Raw genomic sequence first — 23864 nt, 5'->3', positions numbered from 1 at the left:
CAACAACAGTCAAACCAAGAGCCAAATCAGGAATGCAATCCCATTCACAATTGCCACAAAAATAATAAAACACTTAGGAATACAGCTAACCAGGGAAGTGAAAGATCTCTACAAGGAGAACTACAAAACACTGCTAAAGGAAATCAGAGAGGACACAAATGGAAAAACATTCCATGCTCGTGGATAGGAAGAATAAATATTGTTAAAGTAGTTATACTGTCCAGAGCAATTTATAGATTTGATGCTCTTCCTTTTAAACTACCATTGACATTCTTCACAGAACTAGAAAAAAACTTTTACAATTCATGTGGAACCAAAGAAGGGCCTGAATAGCCAAGGCAATCCTAAGCAAAAAGAACAAAGCTGGAGGCATCACACTACCCAACTTCAAACTATGCTACAGGGCTACAGTAACCAAAACAGCACGGTACTGATACAAAAACAGACAAATAAACCACTAGAACAGAATAGAGAGCCCAGAAATAAGACCACACACCTACAATCAAAGACTCTTAAATCAAAGAGAGATAAAGAGAAAATGGGCTCGTGAATACATTCTTCTTTAGCTTACTTGGATACCTCACTTGACTGTCTGCTGCCCTTAACTGTTTGTTGTTTTTTTCTTTTCTTTTTTTTTTTAATAAAAAGACATAGTCTTGCTCTGTTACCCAAACTGGAGTGCAGTGGCCCAATCATGGCTCACCGTAGCCTCAAACTCCTGTGCTCAAGCCATCCTCCCACCTCAGCCTCCTGAATAGCTGGGGCTACAGGCACACATCACTAAGCCTGGCTAAGTTTTGAATTTTTTGTAGAGATGGGATCTCACTATGTTGCCTGGACTGGTCTCAAACTCCCAGCCTCAAGTGATCCTCCTTTTGCCTCCCAAAATGCTGGGCTCACAAGCATTGAACCACTGCACCCAGCTCCTTAATATATACTTTTTAAATGAATGATAATTCTTCTAAATGAGAAAGAAATGTGAAAACCCCTGGAAACAGAACAAATGTCTATACCATGACAATGTTCTATACCAGTACTAAGAAAGATTATTCCTACAGTGTTCTTTTTAAATATCAATAATAATAAGGATAAATTAGGATAGTGGCAATCAATTTGGTCTGTGGATAAAGCAGGACCACAAGAACGGTTTTAGGAGAGTGATTCAGGTTGTGTTTGTGCTAGCAAAGTCCCAAATGTCTCTGTTATTTCTATATATTCTTCTTTTTTCTGAGGAAACTCTCATTCCTGACATGGGAAATTAGACTCAACAGGGAGCAGGAAAAAGGGATCTATTCCATAATTTAGAAGCCTGGGCAACATAGTGAGACCCTGTGCATTAGTCCGTTCTCACACTGCTGTAAAGAACTACCCGAGACTGGATAACTTATAAAGAAAAGAGGTTTAATTGACTAAACCCCTAAAGGATGTACAGGAGGCAAGGCTGGGGGAGGACGGCTCAGGAAACTTACAGTCATGGCAGAAGGTGAAGGGGAAGCAAGTACATCTTCATATGGTGACAGGAGAGAGAGAGCAAAGGGGGAAGTGCTGCGTACTTTTAATCAACCAGATCTCGTGAGAACTTCATCATGAAAACAGCAAGGGAGAAGTTCACCCCCATGATTCAATCACCTCCCACCAGGCCCCTCTTTCAACACATGGGGATTACAATTCAACGTGAAATTTGGGTGGGGACACAGAACCAAACCATATCACCCAGTCTCAGAAAAAACCCTCAAAATTAAATAAAATTAAAAATTCAAATGCTCAATAACCACATGTGACTAGTGGCTATGATATTGGACAGCAGTTATAGAGTGTTTCTATCACTGGCGGTGACTGAAAATTGTAGGTGTGCCATCTACTCTCCTGTTTCAGGATGAGAGAGATAGGAGAGACAACAGACATTGATCTGACTGCTTAAATGCTCAGTGTTTTGCTTACATTTGCTTTATGCCTTTTTAAATGTCTTCAGCATTGTCCACAGACCGGGGGATACCAGCAGATAGTTCAGGGAAATTTTGGAACAGGATTCCAGTCAGAAATTCATTGGTGGTTTGACGGAATTATTTGGTGAAGAATTGAGAAAAGAATCCACTGGAAAAGCCAAAGAGAAAAAGCAGTCAGGAGAATATCTCAGGTTCAACCTAGTGAGGACTGCGATTGGAAAGGCAATTCTGATTAGAATTGGGAATATGACATCTAGCAGCCTATTTGGAAATTCAATGGACAAGAAGTTGAGAATGGAACCAGAAGAAGGTTGGCAATTTCTCTTTTGATGACCATTTTAGGGGTCTGGGGGTTTCTCTCTATTTTCAGTATAGTTTTTCTTTTCAGACTCTCCCTACCATCTTTTTGTGAGATTACAGTGTCATTATTGTTCCCTTGGGCTCTGCTCCAGATCAGGGCTCTTCTTGATCAGGAAACAGCTGGAAAATGTGCTCTTTATTCTGCCCTTTCTTCTGGTCCCTAGATCTGAGAAAGGGCCACTGTGGCAGCACTATATAACTCAAGGCACCTCACGTGGCAAGTGGGGGTGAGTGGGATGTATTATAGGAGGATATGGTCAGCAGGTCCAGAATCTGATGTCATTCTCTGGGTTGTCTAATCATGTGGGATCCCAGTGCCTCAGTGGACACATGGGAACTTATGATCATATCATTATGTAAAACAAAGATGAAATTTGAAGCCTCCTCATCCCCATCTGAATGGACTTCTTCCTTGGCCAGGACACTGTAAATTTAATCTGAAAGACTGGTTCAGACCATGAAGGGAAGTGGGGCTTGGACATGCCTTATTATACCCCTGACTGACATCAACACAGACCTTAAGTCTGATAAGAAATACATACAGTCTATTCTCTCTAAAGCCTCCTACTTGGAGGCTTCATCTGCATGACAAAACCTAGGTCTCCATAACCCCTTTTTGTAACCTAGACATTTCTTCTCACTGACAATAACTCTTTCAACCAATTGCCAATCATAATATTTTTAAATCTACCTATGACCTAAAAGCAGCCCCGACCTTCGAGTTGTCCCACCCTTCCAGATGGAACCAATAAATCTTACATGTATTGATTGATGTATTATGTCTCCCTAAAATGTATAAAAGCAAGCTGTACCCCAGTCACACTGGGCACATGTCATCTGGACCTCCGGAGGCCATGTCACTGGTGCATCCTTAACCTTAGCAAAATAAACCTTCTAAACTGATTGAGACTTGTCTCAGATACCTTTTGGTTTACTATTACTTATCTCATGAGTGTTCTACCCCACCTGGGGTCTCCTGTTTTTTTTTAATCAAGCTTTGAAAATGTGCTGTGTTACAGATCTATGGCTAGCTTCTGGGGAGACACAGAAGAGTTAGGCTGAGCTTCTTATTTAGGTGTTTATAGCCTAATATTCTATGACTCTATAGCTACACGTTATTGTAGCAAAGTACTTTTGGATGTCATGGCTGGTTTCTCCTCTGATGTACTTTCTTTAGTGATGAGTCTAGCTGTTTTGGCCCTCTTCAAGTGAAACAGCTATATTTTGTTATATGTCTTATTCCAGAGGTATCTGGCTTTAAGATGGAATCAGCCAATTCTATACTTTACATGGGAGTTTATTTTTCTGTTTGTCTGCAATAACTCTCAGGTATCCAATTTTCTGATTTTTTTTCCTACTCCTTCCTCCCCCATTTTCACATAAAGGTCATTGGTATATTAGCTACTGAAATGAAGAGGGAGAATTATACATTCCTTGACCCTATTACTGTAATTACAATTTTTTCCCCTGTGAACTCATTGTCTAAAATTCTTTGACTGATAAAGAAAGATTTCAGATGAATTGATTGTGCCTTTATTTCGGGCTGTGGTGATGATATTTTGATATCACATGCCTTAGGGTTGCTCTAAATCCAGTTCCTGCTATGCATTTGATGTGGAGATGGAAGAATTTGCTTTTAATGTCTTTGACACCTCAAAGAGGGCAGAAGAGCTCCTCCCACAGAAATTGATAATGTTCTGTGGTGGAAAGAATAATGGGTTTAGAGTCAGATTTCAGTTCCAACTCTTCTATGTGTCCTTGGTAGATGATGATGATGATGATATTAGTAATATCAGCCATTTATTGAGTACTTGCTAAACACTCAGTACTTACTAACTTCAGGGACGTTCCTAATCTTTACGACAGCCACTTCAGGTTGGTATTATGCTCGTATCACATATGGAGAAAATGAGGCAAAGAGGGCTTAAGAAATTTGCCTAGAGGTCATGTTGGGGTTGGAACTCAGACAATTTTACCTAACCTTTCTGAACTTCATTTTTCTTCTCATTAAAATGAAGGCATTGGGCTGGTCTCTACATTTAGTTCTATCCTAATGACCTTAAGTTTATTGATCTCTAAGTTTATAACCTCTATGATCCTGGAGTTTTACAGATAGGGACCCCACCATGACCATTTTAGGGTGTGTAGGTTTCAGGTGGTAATAATGAAAAGTAAGGTCAGGTGTCCTGAAAGCCTGCCTTTATCAGGACTCCAGAAACTTTCCTTTTGGACTCCCTGTTTTTCTTGGTTTTTGTTTTTGGTTTTTGGGGCGTGAAAATGCCATCAACTGAGACAATGAAGCCAATATCTCTTCCCTAAAACATATCAGCATAAAGTCCTGAAGATATTCAATAAAACTGAGATCACTCCTACCCCAACGGATGTTGGGAGGCTCAGATACGATAATGCTTGGAAACGATTACAAAACTTGTCAAATTCTGTACAAATGCAAGACATTATTGGAATTATCCTGGTATTTCACAGTTAAGAAGCTGGTGGGACTAGTTTTCCCATTTGATTTCTATGCAAATTGCATGTAGGAAGCCTTCTCTGGTTAGTGCCTATGCTGATTAAAGGGCAAGATGCTCTCAGCTTTGTTCAAGACACAGCAACCTCCATAAACATACTTCCAGGATGTTTGGTTACTGGCCAGCGTTGCCAGGTGTAGCATGCCATTACATTTCCCGTTAAATTTTCCTGTCTGATTAAAAACTTAAAATGTAGTAGGGCTAAATTCCTTCTGGTTCAATCTAAAATGCTGCTTGAGTTGTGATTTTGAATTCTGTTCTATTCCAGGCTTCTCTTTATCCCCATCCTTATCATCTATATTTATCTTCTTGCATGGAAAAGTAGAATATATTCCTGAATTTCCTGGGCTCCCTTTTCTGGTTTCTTGCATCTTTGGGCTTGTGTAACACATAATGTTCTCATTTTGGAAACATCTATTGCTGGATCACACAGAATTGGTGTCATAAGGTGGCCCACTGAATTGAGAATAGAGAATATCTTTTTTTTTCGTGTTAATCTGTCTCTCTTTTTAAAAAAAATTTATTTTAAGTTCTGGGGTACATGTGCACGATGTGCAGGTTTGTTGCATAGGTAAACTTGTGCCATGGTGGTTTGCTTCATCTATCAACCCATCACCTAGGTATTAAGCCCAGCATGCATTAGCTATTTTTCCTGATGTTCTCCCTCCCTCTCCCCACCTCCACCTGACAGGCCCCACTGTGTGTTGTTCCCCCTCTGTGTCTATGTGGAGAACAGAGAATATCTAAAAAGTTGACTTGAAAAGATTCATTTCTTCTATCTTTTCATTTATTAATTTATTTATGCAGTCAGTATTTTATTGATCTCCCACTATAAGAATACAAATGGAGATAGAGAAAAAGAGATTGATCTCACTGGGTAAGATCCCAGCTAGCAGATGCAAGAGTGCTAAGGAGCAGAATTGAAAAAGGATTATAGTTCCTTGTGCCCATTCTTGCCCTCCATCCTATCAGACTTTGGGAGGTCCCGTGCAGCAGAGAACATGAGGAAGACCACTGGTAAGGCTCCTACTACTCTCCCAAGAAGAAACTGAATATCATACCTAGGCCCAACTCTATAACTAGGCCAGGAGGTAAAAGGCTAACCACAGAAGTAACGTACAACAAAACACCTGGAGTGACCAGAGGGTTGAAATGTAGTAGGTGTGCAATCACTGTTTGTCATGTGATGCGAATGAACTGATAGTAGAAGTGGTGTTAGTAATCTATGAATCAGTCAATATCAAATATAGTTGTGGATGATGGAGAGGGGATGGGAGCAGAAGAACTGGGAGAAGCCCAGGAGAGAATCTACCCAGATTGCTACTAGAAATATCAGGGAATTTCTTATAGAAAGAAGGAGAAATGGGCCAGAACTTTGAGGACCAAGAAGAAGAGTTGGAAATAATTTGATAATTTTTTGGTTCCCTCCCTCCCTCCCTTCTCTCTTTCTTTTTCTTTCTCTTTCTTTTCTTTCTTCTTTCTTTTCTTTTCTTTTCCTCTTTCTTTCTTTCTTTCTTTCTTTCTTTCTTTCTTTCTTTCTTTCTTTCTTTTTCTTTCTTCCTTCCTTCCTTCCTTCCTTCCTCTCTCTCTCTCTGTCTCTTTCTTTCTTTCTTTCTTTCTTTCTTTCTTTCTTTCTTTCTTTCTTTCTTTCTTTCTTTCTTCTTTCCTTCTTTCTCTCTTTCTTCCTTTCTTTCATCTCGCTCTGTCACCCAGACTGGAGGGCAATTGAAGCCATCTTGGCTCACTGCAACCTCCGTCTCCCAGGTTCAAGCGATTTTCATGCTTCAGCCTCCCAAATGGCTGGGATTACAGGCATGCGCCACCACGCCTGGCGAATTTTTGTATTTTTAGTAGAGACGGGGTTTCACCATGTTTGCCAGGCTGGTCTCAAACTCCCAATCTGAAGTGATCCACCCGCCTCGGCCTCCCAAAATGTTTTTTTTTTCTTTTTCTTTTTTTTTTTTTTTGAGACAGATTGGAATGCAGCTAGTCACAGTTGTGGTCAAATCTCACCACAGCCTTGAACATCTGGTCTTGAGTGATCCTCCTGTTTGTCTTCGAAGTAGCTGGGACTATAAGGGCCCACAGAATGCCCAGCAATTTGGTGATTTCATATAGCCCCTGTGTACACTGGGGTTTGATCACTGCAGGTCTCTGGTGGCCCTAGGGGGTTGGAGGACATATAGAAGGTTTTCTTTGTCCTTGATGTTGAGTAACTGCTCATATAAGGCCCCTGTTGAGGCACCTTAATCAAAATCATAAAGCCCTGGGGGGCAAAACAAAACAAAACAAAAAACCCCCACAAGGCCTGCCAGGAACTCCCATGATTAGGCATTTGGTGGATTCTTGCTGTTGTTCTTAAAAAATGTTTTTATGTAAATGTCAAATACTTGTGCCTTAAGCAAGAGAACTTGCAAGCTTACATGCTTCCAGTAGGACTTCCTAGTAAAAACAGAAAAGGAAAGTGAACAAGGCCTTTGCTGTTATGGGCTGCTTTTCATGGAAGCAAAGATTGGAAGAAGTTGAGATTGTATTGATTTTAATTACTTGGAAACAAATTGGAATTTTCTTTGCTTTTTTCCTTTTCCAACTGTCAGTATAAAATAAATTAGGAAAATGTGCTTGTATTTCCTCATAAGTGATGGGGGAGAAAAGTGAGACATTTTGGGTTTCCAACAGAAAAAATGAGGAATTAGATACCTTCTAGTATTTCCAGAGAAACCTTATTGACAGCAAATCCTGTGATGATAGAGGCTCCCCAGAAGTTATTGTCCATGAAGTCTGCTATGCTGTGCTAAAAATTATGAGAGTGTTGTTTTGGAGTCAATTTCCGCACTGGGCCCCTACAGTCCAGACTAAAAATCAAAATGGTGTCCCTTACATTGAAGTTCCATGGCATCCAGTCAAATGGAAACTGAGTTCCTTTCTGACCTGAGAAATCAGGAGAGAGGGATTACAGTCTAATTTCCCAAACAGGCCAGTTTCAACTGGCAGGGTAATAAAGTGTTCTCTGTTTTAATCCTTACCAAAAAGAAAAAGGAAAAAGCAACCTGATATTATACAATCAGTTATTTCTCTATTGTTCTATTTCTTGGTTCCTTCATTAAAAGGAAAACAACTTTGAAATCACCAATCGCTTTTTTTTCTTTCTTTCTGCTTTATTTAGCCATTTTCTGTCTATAAAACCACACTCCTCTGCTTGGCTTATTAGAACACTTATTCTATTTTGTGGAATAAAGTGTTGTCTGATTCTAGAATTGCAAATAAGCCAATTAATATCTTTAAATTGTTAGAATTTTATCTTTTGCCTGTTGAGATGTAGAAAGAATTCTGAAGGCCTTCGTTCTATCTCTTGATGTGCTAACCTTGGGCAAGTCACTTACTACTTTGGGTTTCCATTTTATTTAACATTCAATATTTAACTACCTACTTATGGAGGTGGCAATGTCTTGGGAGATTATTTATAGAATGATATTGATATGCATTCTGTCTATCTCTCAGAAATGGCATAAGAATAAATTTGGATTTGAAAGCCCCGTGAAACATTCATAAATCTCCTGCATCTCAGAACAAAAGGCCACAAATCAAAGAGGGAAGTTCTTGCCTCATTTAAGACTGGACTTATAATAACAAAGCCTTTCATTCAATTAATGGCAAAGTGAAGAAAGATCAGACTGGAGATTTTCATCATAGCAAGCTTGACTTGGTGCAAAGAAATGCAAGAGGTCAAACCTGTGGGTTGATTCAACTAAAGAAAAATCTCTTTCTTGGATTCCTATAGCCTTGCCATAATCTAAAATGTCTCCTTACTGATAGAGGCTTTAGACATCGTTTCCCTCCTCTCCTTCCTTCTTTATGAAGCAACTAATGGAAGCTATGCTAGGTTCTGGGATTAATCTATGCAGATTAGTTTGCGCTACTCAGGATATACTAACAGTGTAGCTCACTAACACTATACTAACACTATACTAACAGTGTCTTGGACAGGATAGAGGTTTATTTCTCTTATTTGTTATGATGGCTTTGTTCTGTGAATCCTTTCGTTATATATTCTCTGCCATCCCTATGGTGTTGCCCTTATGCAAATGGTTCAAGGTGACACACTACCACACCCACATCTCATAAGGCAGAAAAGGAGGAAAGTGGAAGTGAAGGGTATGCCTCTTCCCTCTAGGGACAAAACTTAGAGGTTACACATATTAGTTCTGCTCATATTGCCTGGAGGCTGGGAAATGCATCTTCATATTGGGGAACCATATGCCCAGCTAAACATTAGGGATTCTGTTACTCTGAGAGAGAAGAGGGAATGGGACAACCAAAAACCTGGGATGCTAACAAGAACGACTCTTGGTTCCTTCCTAAAAATTGCTTACTTTAGTGAGAGAAAACAGAAGTCTAAATAGGTAATGAAACATATATTAAATATATATGTGTTTAGAGATGGGGTCTCACTATGTTGCTCAGGCTGGACTTGAACTCCTGGGCTCTAGTTATCCTCCTGTCGTGGCCTCCCAAGTAGCTGGGATTATAGGCGGGTGCCAAGGAGCCTGGCTTGACTTTCTTCTTTCTCTAACTTGTTTCCTTTGCTGACTTTTCCTCTATACCCATAAGAATTTCACTAGACTGGAATTTTGTCTGGTTCAGGTAAGGCCTGCACCTCCTGTCTTTCTACATTTCCCTTGGAATCACGTGCACCATTTTGGTGACAGCAGTTTTAAGCAAATGGCTCATACATCTCTATGCATAAAGCAAAACCATGATTGTTAATCAAAATTCCCTGGATCTCAGTTTCATCTTCTTTTTTTTTTGCCACCTGTGGGGTATTTCCAACAAGGTTCTCTTAAGGTAACTTAATTGCCAGTAGCCAAACTCATCTTGCCTACCCCTTCTGCAAATCTCCTCACCAACATCCTGTTCCTCACAATACCACTCAGAAACTGACTCCTGCTTTGCTTCACTGCAATACATCACTGGAATAATTCAGGCTTCACAAGGTGGAGTTATCTTTTCTTTTCCCTGGACCCTGACTCTCCGTATCATACATTAAATATAAATTGCTGATCATAGTGCTTGCTTTCATTACTGTAATCTTGCTACTCAGTGCCTTGCCTGTGCTATTGTGATGCCCCTCTTCTCTGCTTTAAATTCTTGTTCACTATCTGTCTTCCTACAATATAATTTGATTTGGCTCAATCTGCTAAAAAATCTTCACCAATAGGCTATTATGTATCAATGAGGCAATTCTCTTCGGCCTTCTATTTCCAAGTCGGCTTTTCATAATATGGCCTCAACTTTCCATCATCTCTGCAATATCCTCTTAAGACATATTAGACTAATTGCCATTCCTGGATGTGTTCTCCACTCTCCTATGTCTACCTCTATGTGTATTTACATGACTGTTCCTTCTTCCTGATAACCCTGCCTGTTTTACCCTGATGAAATCTTACCCATTTTTAAGGGCCAATTGAAATACCACATTCTTTATGAAAGTTCCCCTGAACTTCTGTAAGCCAGCAATACATTTGGCGTTAGAGGCAGTAACTAACTTGTCTTCGTGTTGCTAGTGTCTGGCAACCCCTGGGGGTAACCAGCAAGTCTGCTCAAATGTTAGAGCTGATGCTAACATTTGATTTCCTCACAGATTATGTTGTCTAACCTTTCCACTCCCCCCAAATAGATTGTGTGATTCTTGGAGGCAGGGTCCATTCAACTCTGTATCCTCAGTACGTTTTGTCTCACTTAATATTCGCTCAATTAAATATTGGTTTAACAGAATTGTTTCGGTGATGGTAATGGCAGTGATTTTCTTGGAATGAGTAGGGGACAAGCCACTTAGGGGGACTGTAACACTACTCAGAAGAGCCACCATTTCAGACTCTTCCTAAGAAACCAATGATACGTTCTTAAGAAAGAGTCTCTTACTACACTAGTTTTAAGAGAGGGTAGAAGACAATACTGCTTGGAGGAAATTCTAGTGATCGAGAGAGAAAATAGATTTTGTATACAAAAGATTTTGTGATGTTTTTGTGTAGGATTGTCCTGGGGGGTTATCAGATCTAATAATGAGCTCTTCCCTAGCTTCCTTTTTCCATCCTTAAACCTGCATTCAGCTTCACCAAGGTGAGTGTTGGAGTGGTTAAAGAAGAGGCTCATTTGTAAGGAAAATAGTGGTGGATAAAATTCCATAGTGCATTTCTATTAAACCTTTTGGAGAGGTCAGCAAAAGATACATAAACTCTTTTCTGACATTTCCTTATGTGACTCAAAATGCGATAAGAAAAACTGAAGTTTCTTTGATTCACCATCTTCTACCTCTCACCATGGTCCCTATCCCAATTCAGTGATAAGGAAGAAGCAGTTGTTTAGAAATGGGTCATTAGGAGAATGGATGAAACTCCTGGTTCAAATCTTACTTTGATGCAATTCTGTTAAGCTTCAATGTCTGTTTTTAAAACATGTGAGTTAATTTGGTTCAATGATTATGGCCAAGGCATCTGGTTGGATAACATAATGTCATGAAGTTGTATGGCTTTGGCCCCTGCCCTTAAAACTTTTAGTATATTTGAGGCAGAGACATAAGAAAGGGATTAATTCCAAACTAGCAGAGTCATTATTCTTAACACCAGAAGATGGGTAGAGATAAGCCTGAATAGAGAAAAAAAATGGGGCTCTACTCCAAGCCATGCTGCCTGTATTTATTCCTGCCTCTACCTCTTACTTGCTCTGTAACTGGGCAAGTGACCTAATTTCCTTGCGCCTCAGTTTCTTCATTAGTAAATTGATGCTGTTATAATACTTTATATGCTGTTTAGGATTATTGTGAGGGTTAAAATGAGTACATATTTGTAAAGTACTCAGAATTTGTAAAATATTTACAATAGTGCCTGGGACATAGTAATTGCCATTTAGTCATTATTACTTGTTATAACTGCTAAAAATGTTTTTATTGTAGTAAAAAATCCATACCCTTAAATTTACCACTTAACTTCTTTTAAGTGTATAGTTCAGTTGTGTTAAGTATATTCACATTGTTGTGCAACAAATAGAGATCTCTAGAAATTTTTCATCTTGCAAAACTAAAAGTCTACACCCATTGAACAATAATGTCTCCTTCCCCCAGCCCTTGACACCCACCTTTCTACTTTCCATTTTTGTGAGTTTGACTACTTTAGATACCTCACATAAGTGGACTCATGCAGTCTTGGTCTTTTTGTGACTGGCTTCTTCCATCTAGCATAATGTTCTCAAAGTTTATCCATGTAACCATGTTTGTTCATCTGTATGACCTTGTTCATAGCATAGGAAAGGATTCATTCCTTTTTAAAGGCTGAATAATATTCCGTCATATGTGTGTACCACATTTTTAACTTCATTCATCCATAGATGAACATCCGAGTTGCTCTACCTCTTGGCTATTGTGAATAATGCTGCAATAAACAAAGATATGTAAGGATCTTTTCAACATCCTGATTTCTTCTTGGTGCAGTGGCTCATACCTGTAATCCCAGCACTTTGGGAGTCCAAGGCAGGTGGATCACTTGAGACCAGGAGTTTGAGAGCAGCCTGGCCAACATAGTGAAACCCCACCTCAACTAAAAATACAAAAACTAGCCAGGCATTGCGGCAAACACTTGTAATCCCAACTACTCAGGAGGCTGAGGTGTGAGAATCGCTTGAACCAGGGAGGCAGAGGCTGCAGTGAGCCTAGATCGCACCACTGCACTCCAGCCTGGATGACAGAGTGAGACCCTGTTTCAAAAAAACAATCCTGATTTTGAATATTTGTCCAGAAGAGGGATTGATGGATTATTTGGTAACTCTATGTTTAATTTTTCAAGAAACCTCTATATTGTTTTCCATAAAGGCTGCTCCAGTTTACATTCCCAAAGCTGTGTACAGGGACTCTAATTTCTCCACATCCTTGCTAACACTTGTTATTTTCTGTTGTTTTGATAGTGGCCATCCCAATAGGTGTGAGGTGATATCTCATTGTTATAATTTTTGCATTTCTTATCTATCAGCTGATCAAAATCCTGCTCCCCCTGCTGTCCCTCCACCATGGTTTAAAAGAGTCTAACCTAGAGCTTAAAATATCTAAGAGACAAAGACGGGAATCAGTCTCAGAATTGCCCATGAGGATGTGTGCTAAGTCCAAGAGAACACATTGGTCCTAAAACTTCAATTAAATCCACTGAAATCTCTTCATGGTGTACCACAGTGTGTTTTCTTCCTTGTTCATTGACTACCAGGCAAGGCTTTCGGCCAAATCTGAAGAGTTATAATTCTTTTTGTCCTCCCCTCCTTCCTCTTTTCTTTTTATTTTTAGGATAGTGGTTTAAACTCTGAGAATTCATTTCCTAAAAGAGCTAAAATCCTAGAAAGCCAACTTTTTTGAGCATATGTCATGGTGAGGGCACTTTGCCCCACATCTAATCAGTCACCAAGTCCCTTTAATTTCACCTTCATAATGTCTTTAATATCTGTATACTTTTCAGGCCTAGGGCTACCATGCTGCTGAACCCATGGTGGCTCTTGCCTGTGCAGTGCCATTACTGACCTGCTCTCTGTTTGTGCAGGTTTGGCTAGTCTTCCTAAAGCATGGCTTTTACCATGCCAACCATTGACTTCACATTCTCAATGACTCTGTTTTGCCAGCAGAATAATGACTCAACTCTTCAGCTTTTGAAGATCTCCTTGGTATGCTCCCCAGTGTCATTTCAGACGGCCACAACCTCCTCTTCCACTGCCCTCTTTTTGTCACCCTCTCATTGTAGTCTCCAGTCACATACTTTTCTTTAATGAGGGTAATTACTCGGATAGTTTTACTTTATTCTTTAAGGTCCATCTCAAGTTATAATAATGAAGGTGCCAATCATTGATCATTTATTATATGTCATTTACCAATTTACATGGATCAGTTCATTTAATTCTCACAATGACCCTATGAAGGGATTAGTATCATCACCTGCGTTTTGCAAATCAGGAAAACTGGACAGAGTGATTTGGGCAAGTTCAAGGTCTCCCAAGGACCTGGGTTCATGGCCAGACAATCTGAGTCTAGAACCCAAGCTTTTAGCCACTGCTGAAAGGTTGCATTTGACAGTGTCTTCTCACCTAGAATTCAGTACAGATGAATAATCATTTATTTGGCACCAGGGCTCTATAATAGACTTTGTAGAAATAAGGCAACCAAATTTATTACAGTTCACATGACACCTTGAACACTGCTATTCATGCACATTTTTGTCTCCTCCAACGCATTATTCTTGCCCAGGGACCTTTCTGTCTATACCTAGAAACATGTTTACTGAACTCAAGTGAATCCTACTCGTATTTTCATTTGTTGCATTTTTCCCATGGAACTTTCCAGGATCATGCTTCTTCATGTTCCCACCAGAAAACAGTATCATCAAGTTACTAGGGACCTGAGACTTTTTCATCTTCAGCCCGTAATAAAAACAGCTAATGTTTACTGTGACTTTCCCTTATTGTAGGCATTTTGCATGAGTAAATTAACCTCACAACAACCCCAATAAAGTGAAACCTATTTTTATCTCCATTGTATGGATGAGAAAACTGAAGTACCATGACTTCAGTAACTTGCCAAAGGTCACCTAAGTATTACTGGCAGAGGCAGGATTTACAGCCAGGCTGTTGGATCCCAGATCTATGAGGTTAACCTCCCTGCCCAGTGCCTCTTCTGCCTCAGTCATTGCATTTCACAGTGACTTCGCAAACATTTGTTTAAAAAAAAGGCTTTTTTTGTACCACTGGCACATGATTAGATTTCTCAGTATCTTGTTTTGACCTGTCTTTGTATTATATATTTTCTGACTTACTCTGATTCTAACTGCGGTGGCTCATGCCTGTAATCCCAGCACTTTGGGAGGCTGAGGCAGGCGGATCATGAGGTCTGGAGATCGAGACCATCCTGGATAACACAGTGAAACCCTGTCTCTACTAAAAATACAAAAAATTAGTCAGGCGTGGTGGCGGGCACCTGTAGTCCCAGCTACTCAGGAGGCTGAGGCAGGAGAATTGCTTGAACCTGGGAGGGGGAGGTTGCAGTGAGCTGAGATTGTGCCACTGCACTCCAGCCTGGGTGAAAGAGCGAGAATCCACCTTAAAAAAAAAAAAGGCATCAATTTTTGGCCTTCCTTTGAATTTCTCAAGGTACTGAGTGTAATAGCTGGGTCACTGAACAGATACTTGAAACATGCTTGATCTGATACTAGGACACAGGGCTAACCTTTATCCATATCCAATCTGCAGTAGAGGTGGGTGGCCCAGGTCACAGGACTTTTGCCTCATTCTAGGCTCCCTATTCCACGGAGGAGAAATGTGAGTGTTGGTATCTGGAAACTATTCCCTAAGGCAGGATGATAGTTGGGGTTTGGACTGAAAGAAGCACCTTGCTCTGGATCACATGCCTGGAGGCACGCTGGCAGGTGCTGTGCAGCTTGGTTCTTATGGGGGTGGGTGACACAGTGGCAGGATATGCCCCAGCTCAACCCACTTTCCAGAATCTGATCTCACTCTGGAGGAGGTAGATGCAAAAGCTTTTGAGTTTCTTTGGTGCTGTGAAAAAAACCTTCCATACTTTCTGTGAGGCCTACCCATAGTATTCATTACAGATCAATTTAATATAACCTAACTAATACCACATATTTTCCAGAAAGAAGGATGGTGGTAAGTTTATTATTTTTCTGCTGTCACTGGCTCAAACTTGTGATAATTTGGGGGTTTTTATGGTCTGTTTTTCTTTTGCTCTTTTTTTTTTTTTTGAAACAGAGTCTTGCTCTGTCACCTAGGCTAGAGTGCAGTGGTGCAATCTCAGCTCACTGCAGTCTTCACCTCCTGGGCTCAAGTGATCCTCCTGCTTTAGCTTCTGGAGTAGCTTGGACCATAGGTGTGTGCAACCACGTCTGGCTAATTTTATTTTTAAAAGTATTTTAGCTTTTATTTTAGGTTCTGGGTATATACAGGTTTGTTTTATAGGTAAACTCGTGACTCGGGGGTTTGGTGTACAGATTATTTCGTCACCTGGGCACTAAGCATAGTACCTGACAGTTTTAGTTTTTTTTTCCTGAACCCCTCCCTCCTCCCATCCTTCCACTCAAGTAGGCCACAGTATCTGTTATTCCCCTCAATGTGTCCACATGTTCTCATTACTTAGCTCCCACTTATAAGTGAAAATGTGAGTCTTATGGTTTTCTGTTCCCGTGTTAGTTTGCTAAGGATAATGACCTCTACCTCCATTCATGTTCCTGCAAAGGACATAATCTCATTCTTTTTTAAGGCTGCATAGTATTCCATGGTATATATGTACCACATTTTCTTTATCTAGTCTGCCGTTGATGGGCATTTAGGTTGCTTCTATGTCTTTGCTATTGTGAATAGTGCTGCAATGAACATATGCATGCATTGTCTTTACAATAGAACAATTGATACTCCTTTGGGTATATACCCAGCAATGGAATTTCTGGGTTGAATGGTATTTATTTTTTGTAGAGATGGGGTCTCCCTACATTGTCCAGGCTGGTCTTGAACTCCTATGCTCAAGCAATTCTCCTACTTCAGCCTCCCAAAGTGCTGTGATTACAGGCATAAGCCATCCTATCTAGGTGTTTTGTTCTTTTGAGATAGGGTCTTGCTCTGTTGCCCAGGCTGGAGTGTCTGATCATAGCTCACTGTGCCCTCAAACTCCTGAGCTTGAGGGATCCTCCCACCTCACCCTCCCCAGTAGCTGGGACTGCAGGCATGTGTCACTGCATCTGGCTAATTTTTAAATTTTTTTGTAGAGATGGGATCTTGCTTTATTGTGCATGTTGGTCTCGAACTTTTGGCCTCAAGGGATCCACCCACTTTTGCCTAGGATTACAGGTATGAACCACTGCACCTGGCCAATAACTTGTTTTAATTCTAGTGCTTCCTTTATAGAAGACCATATGAGATCACAGACTAGTAACCAGAAGTCTAGTTATTAATTTATCAATAAACATGTTTATCACTTCCTATGTGCCAGACCCTGCTAGATACTGAGGAAACTTCAGAGAAAAAGAAAGGAGCAAACTTGTACCTTTTTTTTTAAGACGGTGAAGAAATTTGAAAATAAAATGATAGCTGCCTTTGACATTTGAAGAGTGAAGAAGGACTTAATTTTATATATATGGCCCCTCAAGAATAAAATTGGGGTAAACAGTTTGAAATTATAAGAAGGCATATTTCAACTATTAGAAAGAATAGTTGTCCAAAGATGAACTATTCCTCTCAATGTACCAAGTTCTCCAACACCGGGCTGACAGCCCACTTGACAGGTATGCTGTATAGGAGGGAAAAACATTCTTCTATTCAACAAAAAGATCTTGCATGTCTGTTGAGCTGGACACAATTTAAGATACCTTCACATCATGAGGTTAAATGATTCTATTATACTTGGTAGCAAATGTGAGACAGCCAAGTGTAGAGAATTCCCCGGAGAAACTCCAGCCCGCCTTTGCACTGGGAGGAGTGTGCACAGGGGTGGAGCCTTGGGAAGTTGGTGCTGTTTTGCAGGGGGTTGGAGCCTGGCCTCTCCTGTTTCGGGGTGTGGTAACCTGGGATTCAACCTGTGAGGCGGGAAAACTGGCTAGCAGGACTCTTGCTGAGAGTCCCCGTTCCCCTTTTTTCCCTTTTTGCCCAATAAATTCCATTTTTCTCACCCTTCAAAGTGTCTGTGAGTCTAATATTTCATGGCCATGTGGCAAGACCAGGCTTAGCTGAACTAAGGAGAAAGTCCTACAACATGTGTAAAAAGCCAAGGAAGTAAAAACAGTATACTAATATAATAACAGAGAACTAACATAATAACTGCAGGCCAGATACAGTGGCTCACACCTGTAATCCCAGCACTTTGGGAGGCTAAGGTGGGTGGATTGCTTGAGCCCAGGGAGTTCAAGACCAGCCTGGGCAACATGGCAAAACTCTGTCTCAACAAAAATAGAAAAATTAGGCAGGCATGGTGGTGTGAGCCTGTAGTCTCAGCTACTAGGGAGGCTGAGGTTGGGGGATTGCTTGAGCCTGGGCGGTGGAGTTTGCAGTGAGCTGAGTTCACACCACTGCACCCCAGCCTGGGCGACAGAGTAAACCCTGTCTCCCCACAAAAATTATTTATATATATTATATATTTAATAACTACAACTTCTTTAAATAAAAACCCTGCAACTGTAACCTTACAGTTTCATTAGCTCTCACCTCAGCAAGGCCAGGTTCCCCTCTGGGACCCACTGTGTCCATTACCTACTGGTGCTCAGCCGGTGAGAAAGAGAAGCACATCTCCATGAGGGGAGAGCAAATTGCTCCCATGTTTCAACATAGGGGTCACCAGGCAGCCATTCTTTCCCTGACTCTGGTTGAAATTGAGGCAATGAGATGGTCCTATGACATTCGGATGGACATCTAAAGCGGTGTTTCTATTTTTAGGTGGTCAGGAAGAAGTCAAATCTTCTAGAGGAGGTAGGTCACTCCTGCCCCTTAACGCCTCAGTCCAGCTCTCCTCTAGGACCTCAGAGACTCCACTTCGCCCATTTGCCAGTCAGTTCTTGCACTTTTCCACGGTGGAAAATATTCTTATATTGCTGCCAGTGCAGGTAAAATTCTCCCTTTTTCCACTGGCCTATAACTTAGTGCATTATTATCTCATTTGAGTCCTATGTTTGCTGTGTTATTGTCTGCAGATTTTTTTTTATCAGCTTCTTGCTTCCCAAGCTCCTGACTATTGTGTTTGGGTTACACTTAATTGTACAGGGCTTGCCAAGGAAACTGAGTTTACAGAAAAACAAAATGTTCTCTAGTGTGTGTCCATTTTCCCCTTCCTTTAGGGCAAAGCCCTGTGCAGTGCCACGTTTCACAGGTCAAAGACAGCAGTGAGGAGAACAGAGAGATAACTAGGTTGGAAGGACAAATAGAGTGATTGAGAGCTTAGGCTCTAGGGATCTGGGTTCAGTGGCTCCCTCCTGTAATCCTAGCCTTTTGAGAGGCCAAGGCAGGAGGATCACCTGAGCTCAGGAGTTCGAGACCAGCCTGGGCAACATAGCAAGACCCTTGTCTCTACAAAACATAAAATAACTAGCCAGGTGCAATGGCATGCACTTGTAGTCCCAGCTCCTCAGGAGGCTGAAGTGGGAGGATCACTTGAGGCCAGGAGTGTAAGGCTGCAGTGAGCTATGATTCTGCCACTGTATGCAGCCTGGGCAACAGAGTGAGATTCTGTCTCTAAAAGCAAAGAAACAAACAAACAAACAAACAAATAAAAGAAGAAGGCATAGTCTAGTTTCAGACTGCCAGTAGGTTTATTTCCTTATTGTATGACATTTACTGAGTGACTTCTCATAAATTAACGACCCTCTCTCTCTGGGACATGGTTTCCTGATCTAGAAAAGGGGAATAATAAGATTACCATAGGTTTGGTATTAGGTATTTGGTATCAATAAATGTTGGGTATTATTATTATTACTGAGAGGTTTCTCTCAATATGATATTGTCAATCTTGTGGTTACTGAGGAGAAGGAATTTGCTGCAACCTTCTAAGAAAACTAAGATTTAAAGGGAGTTTGACCCTGTGATGGGATTCATGCACATTTGTTAAAGACTTAATTGAGAGCTGAGGCTGACCAGGCGAGCTGGTCCCTTGCCCTTGCCTGTTTTCTCCTGCCTAAAGTGCTACAGCCAGGGACATATCTCAGCTTGATACTGGCCCCAGGAGGACTGAGAAAGTCTGGAGCAGAAGCCAGGTCCACAGAGCCAGAAAGCACTTAATGTTAATGACACCCCAGAGAGTGACTATCTTTAGGGAAATCTGGAGTCACTTAATCTCTCAGCCTCAAGGTTCGTCACCAGAAAAATAGGGATAATGATGCCTACTGCATGGGATCGTGGTGAGAATCAAGTAAGATGGTAGCATGCGTGGAATCACATAACATGTGATTGCTAGGAGTAGTAACGTTGTAGTAGTTATCACGATCAGCTACAATTCTCTTTCAGGGATCCCCCAGGGTTAGGATATGGTTTGCATTAGAGTGTTCCCTTACAGTCAAAGTAGCCAGCAGGCTCTCACTGGGATACTTAGTCTTGTCCTCTGACACAAAGTAGGGTTTTGGAGGCTCAGTTAAACAATTTCTGGTTCCAGCCTAGATGACAATCTTGCAAGCTTGGGCCAGGAGGTAGGGGTCATCTCAGATATCTGGTGGAGACAGAATTTCTCCTCTGCCCCTCAGAGAAGCAGATAAACAGGGCTCATGGTAATGGAGCAATGCAACCTAATTTAGAAAGGGACCTTACCAGAGTTTTCCTCCTAACATCCTTCCTGCTTCTCCCTTCCCCCAGTTCCCTTTTCTTGCCCTTGTTCCTTGGACATTCTCATTGTGTGAGCAAGAATTGTTTTTTTTAATAACCACCTGGGAATGCCTCCTTCAGGGACAAGGGGCTGAGGGTTCTATAAAAGGCCAGCAGAGCTCTCTAGCTCTTACCCGTACACACCACAGCTCCAGGGCCTGCCCACCTGCCTGCTCTGCCTACCTGCCTGCTCACCTTCCCAGCCTTCTACCCTCCCTGCTTACACCATGCTCAGGAAGGCCCTGATCTTCTCAGCCTTGTGGGTCCTGGCTGTGACATTTCCCACACTCCCCCCAGGTAAGTGGGCCATGGGAGGTCTTTTGGAGAATGGGGCTAAAATTATTTGTGTGCATGTGTATACAGAAAGAGAGAAGGGGATTGGGTAGAGAGAGAGAGAGAGGCCTGCTGTGAAAGTTGTAAAGCTGAATTGGGTAAGAATCATATGGATTTGGTCTTAAGATGGGATGGGTGGCTGAGCTCGGAGGGTTTGAGTAATTGAGTGGCTAAGATAAGATTTGTGTTGTGTTTGAACTGACCTCATAAACTTAATGGGCTGGGCCTGCTGCCATTAGGGCACCTGATTAGAGAACTTCTGAGGTTTATCTGTGGTCTCACTCCCTATTGGGTGCTGAAAAGGCATTATTCTATTTCTCTCAGGTTAAAAAGTCCCAGGAGGTATCCTCATTTGATGGTGAAGTGCAGAAAATTTCAGAGCACTTTATTATCTCGCTTGGTCACAGGCAATGGAAATGAGTGGGTCTGAAATGGAAACTTGTAAATCATGTTGAGAAAAGAAAGAAACAGCTGTCTTCATGAAACTTTCAGCTAAAAGCATTCTTTCCTGGCTCTTCCTGAATGCAGGTCGATTTCTCAGGAGGAGAGGTGCTCATTCATTTGTATTGAAAAGATTACTTTCCCCTCCTCTTCCTCTGGCTCTCCTCCTGGTAGCTCTCAGTGTGGGAGATGCTGGGTGTAGCTTGTTTGCTGATATATCAGCTTGTTTGCTGATATAAACTATGATAAAGCAAACTGTCTACATTATAGAGCAGGTGATTCTGGCCTCCTGGGCCCATGACCCGCTGCAATGCCCCTGCGTGTGATCCATCACTGTAGCCTAAAGGGAGCCTGGTTGTTGCTCAACAGACCCACAAGTTTATGATGCTGATATGGTTAGCAAGCCCCAGAACGCCTGGCTTGTGCATTCTGAGAGACAGGGTGGAAAATAAAGACCTAGACACTGTCCATTAAATGAAAAAATTATAGGAGTGGCCCATTTAGCGTCTATTTCATTCTTGCTCCACTCCTTAGAAATAGCTGGCTTCCTTGATCCTTAACCCCTTTTGGTTTTTGTTTTTTGCTTTCAGGAACCTGGAAGAAGTATAAAGGGGAGTCTTGGACTTTTTCTTCCAGTCTGACCAATACACATTTAGAGGCACAATATTGAATGCTCCTTCCTAAACCGAACCCTTGAAAAGAGGGTGGGTGGGGGGCTTTGAGCACCCTCCCAGGCAGCAGTTAGTCCACTGGACTTTCCAGCGGGTGGCAGAAGAGAGGCTTGTGGTGAGACCACGTTTGATGTGGTCTGCCACATTATGTTCCATGTTTCCCCAGAAAAAGATCTACCTAAGAGTGAAAATTCTCACTGGAAAGTACTTGCGCTGTTCTTTTCTTTTTGGCTCCTGTAGAATCAACCACTGACCTACCAGAATCCACCATGGACCTGGAGTCACCCACAGATGTGTACCTGGAGAACACCCAGGCTTTCCGTGAGTGAGGGTCTGGCTTCGCAGGAGGCCTGGGCAGGGGATGGGCTCCCATCTTTTGCATTCCTGAGGGAAGGCCTGCTTTCCTCCAGCAGACTGGATTCCTACCATAGATTTTTCTTGAGAAGGATTCGAGGACAGACTCAAGAAGTGGACTCTGGTACTCTGCCCCCATTATATGCCTTTCTCACCTGGGCGTCATGTTTGCTAGCACATGAGGATAGGTCTAGTTCACCTGCTACACTTAGGAACTTCTAAGTGTGAGTGAAGGCCATGCCTTTAACCCAGTCCTTCTCATGGAATGCATTTGCATTCCATTTCCATAGTAGGATTTGAGTCCTGGTGGAGTACCTTGAAGATTAGGAGAAAGAGGGTTTTGGTGCCACAGACTCAGTGGAATCCTACATTTACTAACACTATTGGAGGCTCATAACAGAATGGTAGACATGTGGTGAATGAGTCTTACTGACCATGAATAAGAAACATTTCTTTACTTAATTGAAGACCAGCCCAGCACCTTCAGAGAAGACTCTTGGAGTTCACCTCAGTGAAGTTTTGTAAGATTCTCCTCTTTTACCTTTAATACTTTACTGATGATTTGATACCATTTTCAATGCTAGTTTAAATTCACTGGTAAAAATTCCAAACTTAAAACTTCCCAGATGCTGAGATCAACTACAAAATGTAACATGGAGGTTAAAGACAATCTCTTTCCTCCCTGGAGGAAAGAGAGCCCAGTTATTTGGATTTTCAGTAACTAAATAGGGATAAGATTAACAAGGACTCTTTCCTTCAAAAGAGTTTTGAAGGGAACATGGAGTAAAATGGATGCCTGGACAGTGTGTAAATATCTCACATTAGGGAGAAGACAAGGGAGGGAGGATAAAAAATTACACCCTAAAGAAATTAAGTTTCATGCCCAGGGAAAGGGTGAAAAGATGGGGCTGATCTTTTGAGCCCTGGTTCTCTTGTTTCTCTTGATAACTCCCGTTTTTTGTTTGTTTTTGTTTTCAAATTTAGAAAATGAAGCAAATTCTCCATTAGCTGTGATGATCACTGCTATCCACTACTTTCTAAGAAGATTCTATGCTTTTGAGCATGCCTACCACTACACTATAGGAGATCTATTGTAGAAGACTAGAAAAACATAGGATGTGCCCAGCTGAGGCATTGATCCTGGCTGGGTAGGGGGAATTGTTCAGGGATGGGGAAGGGGCACTTCTTAGCTGTGTCTCATCGAGTACGGGCTCAATAAATAATTGAATTTTGAGAGTGGTTCTTATTTTATGAGAGAAGAATTGCTTAATTGTATTAAGACCTATGATAAATTTATTTCTCTCTGATACTTTATAAACAGGCATCAATACTTTACAGGGGCCACAGGAAAACATGAAATGAGTTTGTGGGAAGTAAGTTAGTTTTTCTATTGCTGTGATAATAGATTACCACAAACTTAGTGGCTTAAATGAGCACGAATTTATTAACTTAGTTTTGTGGTTCACATGTCTGAAATGAGTCTCACAGGATTAGATCCTTGTATCAATGCTGAGCTGCATTCTAGAAGCTTTAGAGAAGAATTCCATTTTTTCATTCATATTCCTTGACCTCTTTCCAGCAATGGCCAGATGAGCCTCCCGTCACATCACATTGTCTGGTACTGACTCGTCTGCCTCCATCTTCCACATTTAAGGACCTTTTAATTAATTACATTGGGTCCATCTGGATAATCCAGGATAATTTCTCTATGTTAAAGTCAGTTGATTGGCAAATGTAATTCCTCTTCCCATATAATTCAACATATTCAGTGGTTCTGGGAATTAGTTGTGTGTCTTTGAGAGGCCATTATTCTTCATAGCACACACAAGGTAGACATCTTAATCCTCTAGAACTGGTTT

The 23864-nt window shown here is 41.3% G+C and overlaps 1 long non-coding RNA gene across 1 annotated transcript in view; it reads left to right on the top strand.

Annotated features, from left to right (window-relative positions):
* Nucleotides 1–23244, top strand: part of LOC440084 (uncharacterized) — a 56469-nt gene extending 33225 nt beyond the window's left edge. Inside the window, exons 3-5 of the long non-coding RNA NR_148969.1 lie at nucleotides 18296–18462; nucleotides 21892–21972; nucleotides 22990–23244. This is a non-coding gene — a long non-coding RNA (uncharacterized LOC440084). The remainder of the gene's footprint in view (nucleotides 1–18295; nucleotides 18463–21891; nucleotides 21973–22989) is intronic.
* The last annotated feature ends 620 nt before the right edge of the window (nucleotides 23245–23864 follow it).

Source organism: Homo sapiens, chromosome 12, assembly GCF_000001405.40.
Source record: "Homo sapiens chromosome 12, GRCh38.p14 Primary Assembly".
In the NCBI taxonomy this organism is placed as follows: domain Eukaryota; kingdom Metazoa; phylum Chordata; class Mammalia; order Primates; family Hominidae; genus Homo; species Homo sapiens.
The sequence above is the reverse complement of the archived record's forward strand: the minus strand, read 5'-3'. Positions and strand labels throughout refer to the sequence as shown.